Here is a 10,711-nt window from a genome sequence, read left to right as displayed (position 1 = left end):
ATGTATTCTTTGTAACTCTTGCTATAACAGCATTAATCTATTCATGAGGGCAGAGCTCTCATGACCTAATTACCTCCTAAAGGTCTCACCTCTCCACATTGTTGCTTTAGGGATAAGTTTCCAACATGTGAACTTTAAGGGACACATTCATAACCTAACAGTAGATTCAGACTCCAGGGTTGAAACTGAGAGTCTACATTTCTAACAAGCTCCCAGGCGATAGCAGCACTGCTGGTCTCTGGACCCGCTTTGGGTAACAAAACTTAAAGGACCACATGGCCCTGAGCATAAGTTCTCTGAAAATTAGGAGAAATCTTGGGGAAGAATTTCAACTTTTGTGGACCGTAGAATTGGTAGAGGTTTGAGCTAATTTTGCAAAGTTCTTGTGGGGTAGGGAGGCCTCAAGCTAACATCTGGGCTACATAAGTATTTAGTTGTACAGAAGACAGAATTTTTTTTTTAAGATGCAAAGGAGTCGGAAAACTCCTTTTCTGGTCTGCAGGCAAAAGCTTCCCTGGAGAAAGAAGATCTCTCCTGCCAGACCCTGTTCCTTCCAGAGCTTGTTTTGCACTGTCTAACTCTTTGTTTTGCCACAAAGATCTATGGGGCACCCCCATTAGCCATTAGCTAGCTGTAGCAGAAACTGCCAGATCTTCTTGCACCCCTCCCCCACTACATACGTTCCAAAATGTTAAAATTGCAGCAATTACATGAATTGCTATGAGAGATGGAACTGTGAGAAATGGATTAGTACAATGGAGCACATGTCATAAACCCAAGAGAAAGCCCAACACTTCAACAAAAAAACAAAACTAAAAAATATATATACTTTCCACATATTCCATTAAGGGGAAGAGACAAAGAAACTTGGCCTAGGGATCCTCCTAGCCGAGAGTCTAGGAAACCTAACATGACTGTTGGCAGTTCTTTGCTGGGATGGGGTGTGGTCCCCTCTCACACAGCTCCAGTACACTGCTCAAGGACTAAAGTGACTTTGAGCTATGTCTCAAAAGCAAGTAAGATGTTCCTTCAACTTTCTTTCATGATACAAAATTTGAACTCGTCTTTCACCTATCAAGAGCTGCAGCCCTAATCCCACTCACCAACTTGTTCCACACCTGCTACTTAAAATTCAATTATCAAATCCCACGTGCAGGCCAGGCGTGGTGGTTCATGCCTGTAATCCCAGCACTTTGGGAGGCTGAGGCAGGCGGATCACTTGAGGCCAGGATTGAGACCAGCCTGGCCAATATGGTAAAACCTCATCTCTACTAAAAATACAAAAAATAGCCGGGTGTGGCGGCACACACCTATAATCCCAGCTTTTTGGGAGGCTGAAGCATAAGAATTACTTGAACCCAGGAGGCAGAGGTTGCAGTGGGCCAAGATGGGTCCACTGCTCTCCAGCCTGGGCAACAGACTGAGACTCTGTCTCAAAAACAAAACAAAACAAAATCCCATGTGTGTGTTTGACAATGTCTATGCAAACTGAATATGTGCCTGCCCTACGACCCAGAAAGCCTACTCCTTGGTACACAACCAAGAGACATACGTTCATGTAGGCTAGGAGCACACGTTCACAACTGTGCTCACAGAAGCCCTGTTCCTAACAGCGCTGACCTGGGAACAACTCAAATGTCTCCCAACAACAGACGAGATAAAAGAGTTGTATTACATTTACGTAGTGAAATACTGTGCAATATTGGGAAAGGATGAACTGCAAGTGTATGCAACAACATGGATGAATTTCACAACATACTGAATGAAAAACAAGGTATTTAGAAGTCAGGGTGGCGGCATCCTTGGCAGAAGGCATGAGGAAAAGGAAGGGGACACAGGGAAAGCGGGTCTGCAGTGATGGTTGTGTTGTTTCCTGATCTAGCTGCTGGTTTCACAAGTGTGTCCACTGTGCGAAGATTCATCGACATTTATACCCATGATTTGTGCACTTGTATATATGTTACGCTTGAATTAAAAGTTTACTTAGAAAAAGGAAAAGTTTACCATTCACCTCTAAATCAAAGCCTCTTTTCTGTTAGTGATTTCGCAGCAGCACCTCGGAGGTGTCCAACCCCTCCTTCCCCCTGCCTCCACCACAGTCTGGCTTCGTAGGATCTTTCTTCTGTGTGGCTGGCGTTTGTCTCCTCCCATCCTGCTTAACTTCCCCAGTCAGGGCCTCAACCCCTCAGACCTGTTATGAATGAAATCATGGCCTCTCTGGGCTCCCTGCTTCCTGTCTGTCCCATCCAGCTCCTTTAAAGTGTTTGCTCTGGATCTCTGCTTTCATCATAATCCTCCTTTTAAACTTCCAGTCCACCATCATCAAGTCCGCGATAAAATGCAGCTTCTCTGCATGGCACTCAGGCCGCCCTTTTAAAAATCAGGCCACACGTCCCTTCCAACTTCGTCCAGTCTGTGCTCCCTAATGAGCCAATTCTCCAGCCAGATGGTCCCCTCCTCCCTCATTGTCAGCACACTCTTGTGGCTTCTGCCTGCAACCCCAAGCAGGAGAGAAAGCCCAAGCCCACTCCATCTTGCTCATTCTTCCCAGGACCAACTCAGGTTTCTTTAGCCTTCCCGATAAGACCTTGACATTAGCCTCATCCAATTCCTCTCTCCTCTGAGTTTGGCTGTCCATACTTACTTGCCCAAATCATTCAGGGTTGGCCTTATGGGCACGTGCCCCTTGAAAGGAGCTGGAGAGGAAAAAAATGTTCTGAACTGTTTTCATTCATGCTTAGGCTGGGAACACATGCTGGTCACCATTGAATACAAAACCTCCTCTGGCTCCCAGACGTAGATCACTCAAACACCCAACCTGATCTTGAACTTCAAAATGCAAAAAAAGTAAACTCGGCAGGGAGAAAACTGCCCACTGACTACCAAAGATGACACAGCATGAATATTTCCTCCAGCTACACAATGGAGAAGCTGAGTAATATGCAGAATTCACTAAATGACGGGGACTAAGATCACAGGGGTTTTAAGGTCAGCTGAAACTCGATTGCCGTAGTTTTCCTTCCTCTTGGGTAAAAGCTTCTCTGAGCAAACCACATTTTTTCAGAGAATCAAGGCTAGAGTCCCTGGTGAGGCAGTTCGTTCCTGGCCTTCTGTCCTGGGCCACGTGCTTCTCAGCCCTTCCCTGTTGGGCTGCGGGAGGGTTCAAGATGGAATGAGGTAATGCTGGCAGGACAGCTGCCCAGGGAGCGAACGAAACTCTGCCCTGGTTGCAGCCTAAGCAGGACAGGAAGCAAATTAGCAGAAGCAAGCAGTAATTTGACTGCCAACAATAGGAGTCAAAACTGCATTTCTGACCCTGCACCGTTGATCCTCCTCACAACAATAGTCATCCACAAGCCATAAAAAGGCCGATGAAACACTATTTGAGATTGCAAATGCTGGAGTCAAAAGAGTCCTGGGTCCAAATTCTGGCTCTGCCACCCATCCGCTGTACGACCTCGGACAACTTGCCTAAGGTCTGTTAGACTCTGATTCTTAAATGTGCATATTTCATCAAGGTACTGTATGAAATGAGGATGTATGTAAAGTGTGTAGTACATAGCAAGAGCCCAATAAATAGACAGTATGTTCTATGGGCTTTTGTGAACCCCTGCCATCTTGAGTTTATTAACCCTCCATGCGTAAAAACTCCCTCACATTTTTTGCTTCCTTACGTTCTTTTTTTTTTTTTTGAGATGGAGTTTTGCTCTTGTTGCCCAGGCTGGAGTGTAATGGCGCAATCTTGGCTCACTGCAACCTCCGCCTCTGGGGTTCAGGCGATTCTCCTGCCTCAGCCTCCCAAGTACCTTAGATTACAGGTGCCTGCCACCATACCCGGCTAATTTTTTGTATTTTTTAGTAGAGACGGGGTTTCACCATGTTGGCCAGGCTGGTCTCAAACTCCTGACCTCAGGTAATCCACCCGCCTTGGCCTCCCAGAGTGCTGGGATTACAGGTGTGAGCCAACGCGCCTAGGGTTATCATGAGGATTAAATGAGTTAATGTATACAGTCAGCCCTCTGTATCTGTGGGCTCCATATCTGTGGGTTCAACGAACTGCAGACAGAAAATATTTGAAAGAAAAAATGATGTCTGGGCTGGGTGTGGTGGCTCATACCTGTAATCCCAGCACTATTGGAGGCCAAGGCAGGTGGATCGCTTGAGGTCAGGAGTTCAAGACCAGCCTGGGCAACATGGTGAAACCCCGTCTCCATTAAAAATACAAAAATTAGCTGGGCATGATGGTGCATGCCTGTAGTCCTAGCTACTCAGGAGGCTGAAGCAGGAGAATCCCTTGAACCCAGGAGGTAGAGGTTGCAGTGAGCCAAGATCCACCACTGCACTCCAGCCTGGGCAACAGAGTGAGACTCTTTAAAAAAAAAAAAAAAAAAGAAAGAAAGAAAGAAAAGAAAAGAAAAGAAAAAATGATGTCTGATGTCTGAACTGAACAAGTAGAGACTTTTTTATATTGTCATTATTCCCTAAACAACACGGTATAACAATTATTTACATAACATCTACATTGTAGTAGGTATTATAAGTAATCTAGATATGATTTAAAGTATACAGGGCTGGGTGCAGTGGCTCACGCCTATAATCCCAGCACTTCTGTAGTCCAAGGCAGGCAGAAGGCTTGAGCCCACAAGTTCAAGACCAGCCTGGGCAACATGGTGAAACCCATCTCTACAAAAAAAATAGAAGCTAATCTGTGAAGATGAAGACTATATGTATGAGTCATTCACATGCTGGTGGTAAATTATCAATCTGCAAAATTAATCTGCAATATATAAAAATTAGCCCCATGTGGTAGCCTGCACCTGTAGTTCCAGCTACTCAGAAGGATGAAGTGGGAGGATCACCTGAGACCCTAGAGGTCGAGACTACAGTGAGCCATGATCGTGCCACTACACTCCAGCTTGGGTGATGGAATAAGACTCCATCTCAAAATGATAATAATAAAGTATACAGGAGGATGTGCACAGATTATATGCAAATACAACACCATTTTACATCAGGGAGTTGAGCATCCAGGGATGTTAGTATCCAAGGGGGTCCTGGAATCAATCCCCCACAGATACAAAGGAACAATTCTAAGTGCTTGGAAATGCACCTAGAACATAGAAAGTATCATGTAGGTGTCAGTTATTATTAGGAAAGCCTGGGGCAAAGGATACGAAATTACAAGGAAGATGATGCTGAAGACAAATTCTCCCATTTCCCAACTCAGGGGCCTGGCTAGAGTCACTGTTTCTCTCTGCAAACTGGCCATTTCCATTTCCACCGTCTTTTGCTGCCAACACGGAGAAGAGCTTCTGTGCTACAGCCGAGCCACATTTTGGTGCACGAAGATGTGCGGGTTGCCTGAGGATTCTAAGCAGCAGTTCTAGTACGTTTTCCACAGGCAAAATGCACTTGAGGCTCCAAACTACCAGCTTTGATCAACTGTTATGTGAGGTAAGGCCTTATCTGGTTCATCCTAAAGCATCCTAATGAAAACAGAAAACTGTAAGGGGAAACAGATGCAAGTTTGTGGCAGAGGGAAAAATGCACTGGAGTCTTGGGAAAGATGGGGAGGGAGGGCTATTCCTTTTTAAACACAGCATCTAAGATTAAAGTGCTTGTTATTACAATTATCCTCCAAAGAAATCCCATAAAATCCCCTCATTAGACTTTGACCCCAGACTTTAGACTCAAAAAATGAGAATTTGCTTTTTTTTTCAGTAGGGATCGTACCACGTAAAATATAGTATAAAAATAAAATAATAAAAAAGTCAAAAAATAAAAATAAAGGGAAAAATTTTAAATAAATTTAAAAAGGAAAAAAGAGAAAGAAAGTAACTAAATTTTTTTTAAAAAGAATTCACTTTTTTTGCTTTTCTTTGCAATTCTGGCGATGAGCTGACTTTCCCTGCGGCAACACCCACAAAGCAGTTCATGTCTCCTCTTTGAGCTTCAAGGGCACCATTTTTAAAATGGGGTTAAAAACACTTACCAAATGAAATATTGTATGGAATGGGTTTGGAGGTACCTCAAGCATAGCTGGTGATTATTGTTAGCATTAATATTTACTTCCAATGCCAAAAAACTGCCCCTCATTTTAAACTCCTTCTCTTAAGAGCTTTCTCTCAGCTCCTCCTTGCCTATAAGCCCAGACCCTGCTCTTTCATTACTAATTTGGTTTGCACAAAGATGTCATCCTAGAGTCCCATGGCAGAAATGGACCCTGGGCCACCCCACTGCCTTCCAACAAGTCCCTAAAGAGCCCGTCCCAGATTGCTAGAAATAATTAGACACCTAAAAAAGGAAAGTACACAGTCATGCTGATTCATACCCTTCAACTATTTAGGGGGCACAGAATGGCCCCACTACAAATGACCTAGTCTAATGCCCTCATTTAAAGACAAGGAAACTGAGGCCTAGAGAGGGAAGCTTGTTCAAGGTCATGCAGGGAGGTAGAGTTGAGCCCCAACTAGAGCTCTTAGCCATTGACTGCCAGAGAGCACTGACTCATTGTTCCAGGAGTTTGTGTACCATAGACAGGATGGTTTTGGGAAAATCACTTGAAGAAACATTAGGTCTCTTTCTCCTTGGGATTAGGGCTATTTGTGTTTCTATCTTATTCCCCAGCTAGAAGCTGAGCTACTAGAGAAGGCAAGGATCAAGCTCAATCATTTCTCCATCAATGCCTTGCACAGTATTAATACTTATTAAATATGTGTTACTAAGTACAGAAACAGTTGCTGTACAATAATAGGTAACTTAAAATAAGCCTGTTCATGTATCCAAGTAAATGATCAGAAATATGGGGGGAATTTGTTCATAAAGATGTTCATGCAAATACTACTTACAATAGTAAGCTATTGACAAAACAACCACCAAAATTTCTAACGAGGAAGAAATGACCAATTATATTGTAGTATACCCATGCAATAGAATTAAAATAGTATTTTAATAACACTTAAATTCAATTAATTTTAACAAAATGGTAAAATGCTACGCAAAAAAAAAAAGCAGGTTACAGTCGGGCGTGGTGACTCACACCTGTAATCCCAGCACTTTGGGAGGCCGAGGCAGGCAGATCATTTGAGGTCAGGAGTTCGAGACCAGCCTGCCCAACATGGCGAAACCCTGTCTCTATTAAAAATACAAAAATTAACTGGGCATGGTGAAGGGTGCCTGTAATTCCAGCTACTTGGGAGGCTGAGGCAGGAGAATCACTTGAACTCGGGAGGTGGAGGTTGCAGTGAGCTGAGATCATGCCACTGTACTCCAGCCTGGGTGACAAGAGCGAAACTCCATCTCAAAAAAAAAAAGGAGGTTACAAAAAAAATTCTAAGCAATTAACCATGTTAAAGAATATGTATAGAGGGCTGGGCATGGTGGCTCATGCCTGTAATCCCAGCACTTTGGGAGATCAAGGCAGGCTGATCACGAGGTCAGGAGATTGAGACCATCCTGGCTAACGTGGTGAAACCCTGTCTCTACTAAAAATACAAAAATTATCCGGGAGTAGTGGCAGGCGCTTGTAGTCCCAGCTACTCAGGAGGCTGAGGCAGGAGAATGGCGTGAACCCAGGAGGCAGAACTTGTAGTGAGCCAAGATTGTGCCACTGCACTCCAGCCTGGGTGACAGAGTGAGACTCTGTCTAAAAAAAAAAAAAAAAAAAAAAAAAAAAGAATATATATATAGAAAGAAATTATTGGAAGGACATATGCCTGAAATTTAGAGTGGTAATCTCCCAGTAGTAGCATGTTATAGAGATTTCTTTTTTTTTAGTTTTTTTTTTAATTTTTAAAAGTTGTCTACAGTGGGTAGGCATTCTTATGACAGAAAAAGGTCACTGTAAAAGCATCAGTTGAGAAGCTATCTTTTAGAAGGGCATCTGATCAGGCCTGCTATAGTTTGGATGTCTATCCCTCCAAATCTTACGTTCACTTTTGATTCCCAGTGTTGAAGGTGGCGCCTAATGGGAGATGTTTGGGTCAGGGGTGAATTCCCCCATGAATAGATTAATGCCCTCCCTGGAAGAGGGGAACGAGTGAGTTCTCACTCCATTAGCTCCCTCAAGAGCTGGTTGTTAAAAAGAACCTGGTATCTTCCCCCGTTCTCTTATTCCCCCTCTCGTCATGTGATCTCTGCACACACTGGCTCTCCTGCATCTTCTTCCATGAGTAGAAGCAGCCTGAGACCCTCACCAGAAGCAGATGCTGGTGCCAGGCTTCTTGTACATCCTGCAGAGCCGTAAGCCAAATAAACCCCTTTTCTTTATAAATTACCCAGCCTTTATAAATTACCCAGCCTTATAGCAACATAAAGTAGTCTAAGACAAGGCCCATAGAAGATTACACTGTATCAGGGAAGTGTCACTGAGGCAGAGAAATTTACTGATCCCAAATGCCATGTGCTTCTTTAAATTCCCAGTTACCTTGCAGCTAGGGCACATGACTGTTTCTGACCAATTAGCTGTGACACAGAACACTTCCGAGTCACTTTTGGGTGGAATCATTGAAGAACCAGCAGGCTATCTTTTTCCTTGCTGCAGGCACAAAGATGAATTCCAGATGGCATCAACTCCACCAGCCTGGGTACTTGGGTGATTGTATGGACCAAGTCTCTCTCCCTTCTCTCCCCCATACTACACTGGCATGAGAAATAAACTTTTGTGCTGAAGTCACTATGGTCCAGTGGTTCTCAAACTTTGCTACTTACTATAATCACTTGGGGCCCTTTTAAGAATCCTGGTGTTCAAATATCTGGGGATAGGATCCAGGCATCAGTATTTTTTTTAACTCCTCAAGTGAATCCACTGTGCAGCCAAGGCTGATAATCAGTGACCTACTCCATTGGTTCTTAAAGTGTGGTCCCATCCAGCAGCCTCAGCATCACTTGGAACTTGTCTGAAGTGCAAATTTTCAGGCCCTGTCCCATCCCAGACCTACAGATTCAGAAACTGGGGGTGGGGTCCCACAGCTTGTGTTTAATAAGCCCTCCAGGCAATTCTGATGGACAGGCAAGTTTGAGAACCAGTGGCCTGGACTATCTAGAGTATACAGGCATATTTCCTCAAGCTGGTTAAACTGAAGATGAATTTACTAACAAAAATAAGTAGTGGTTTTGTTGTAACAAGGGATGTCCCCACTCTTAAGAAACGCTTCTTTACTTGGATTCACCTTTGGAAATATTTTCACATATGCTTTTTAAAAAATGATTGCACTAACTCAAATGAATATTGGGGGGAAAATACCCTAGGACTCAAAGTATTTCATGGGGCCAGGCACAGTGGCTCACATCTGTAATCCCAGCACTTTGGGAGGTGGAGGAAGGAAGATAGCTTGAAGCCAGGAGTTTAAGACTAGCCTGATTCTGGGCAACAAAGCGAGACCCTGTCTCTACAAAAATAAAATAAAATAAAAATTGGTCAGGCATGGTGGTACATGCCTGTAGTCCCAGCTACTTGGGAGACTGAGGTAGGAGGATTACTTAAGCCCAGGAGTTTGAGGTTACTGTTAGCTGTCATTATACCACTGCATTCAGCCTGGGGGATAGAACAAAATCATGTCTCTTAAAAACAAACACAAAAAATTCATTCATAGGTAGTCACAGTCAGTAGTTCTCAGACTTTAAGATTTCTGAACACAGTGATTTTTTTTAAATGTTGGAAGCACCAAAATAAGGTTGATAATTAATTTTGCAATGCAAGAATAGTTTTTAAAATTAAAACTAACACCATTACATTCATGAAATGAGCTTTTAACAACAAAGACTAAGAAATGATATAATCTCCAAATAAAGAAAAGTCCATGATAGTACTATTAGTAACTTGACATTTCACAGTCCTCTGTTTTCCATTTTGCTCAGATTGATGAAATCTTTGACACACATAGGTTCTGGTCCTCAGCCAGTATCTTGGAACCACTGAACTAGGTGACAATTAAGGCCAACTCCCTATTCCCCAGGACATTATGTAATACCCAAAGGCTTCCAAATTGTACCAGAAGTGGAAACCTCTAAGCACTAAGCACTGCTATAACTTTCAGCATCAAATTGTTGCAACTCACAAATTCTACTTCTCCCCACATCTCAGTTCCAAACAGGCCTCAAGGCTTAATGTCTACAAAAGAATTCACATACTTCCCCAGTCTTTAGTACCAAAAATAATAACTAAGCCAGAGTATGCTGTTACCAACGTTCAAAAGTAAGGCCCATTTATACAGACAGAAGTCACACCCTGTGTAAACCACCACCCTCTTCCCAGGATGACCCCATCACAATGCTAAAGGGACAGAGAACTTCCCTCCCAGGGAACAAGTTACCAAGTACAATCTCAATAATTTTTTTGTCAGTTTCAGTTATAAGTTGGATGGATTGTCTGGGAGCCAAGTATGACATCTTCCCTCTTGGGCAAGGCTTGAAATTGGTGCTCACAGACGGGATCATGAGAATAAAGGGCATAGAGAGGCCAGTTGAGTGATTCAAAGGGTGCCGAGTCCAGATTTCTGTCCCAGTATGTTTTGCCCCAATAAGCACTACCTCAGATTTATTCCTCTGAGCCTTGCAGGATTTGAAGGTTTCAGTGATTGCTACTGAAGAACAAGTTATGTTCTATGAGCAGTAATTCCATTAATTCCTCTTTGAGCATGCAGATTAGGTCTTACGTTTATATCACTGATGCCTGCCCCAGAGCAGGTTGCCAGGAACTGCAAGCTGAATG

General features: G+C 43.3%; 2 annotated features.

Moving 5' to 3' along the window:
• Positions 2,032-2,326: an enhancer, noted in NCBI's record as "tiled region #4802; HepG2 Activating non-DNase unmatched - State 22:ReprW, and K562 Activating DNase matched - State 6:EnhF". NCBI's record gives its function as "activates a minimal TATA promoter and a strong SV40 promoter by Sharpr-MPRA in HepG2 and K562 cells {active_cell/tissue: HepG2 | K562}" and the evidence as "EXISTENCE:reporter gene assay evidence [ECO:0000049][PMID:27701403]".
• Positions 3,335-3,484: an enhancer, noted in NCBI's record as "active region_9947". NCBI's record gives its function as "activates an Ori minimal core promoter by ATAC-STARR-seq in GM12878 lymphoblastoid cells {active_cell/tissue: GM12878}" and the evidence as "EXISTENCE:reporter gene assay evidence [ECO:0000049][PMID:35858748]".

The sequence above is a fragment of the Homo sapiens genome, chromosome 15, assembly GCF_000001405.40.
Source record: "Homo sapiens chromosome 15, GRCh38.p14 Primary Assembly".
Taxonomy (NCBI): domain Eukaryota; kingdom Metazoa; phylum Chordata; class Mammalia; order Primates; family Hominidae; genus Homo; species Homo sapiens.
The sequence above is the reverse complement of the archived record's forward strand: the minus strand, read 5'-3'. Positions and strand labels throughout refer to the sequence as shown.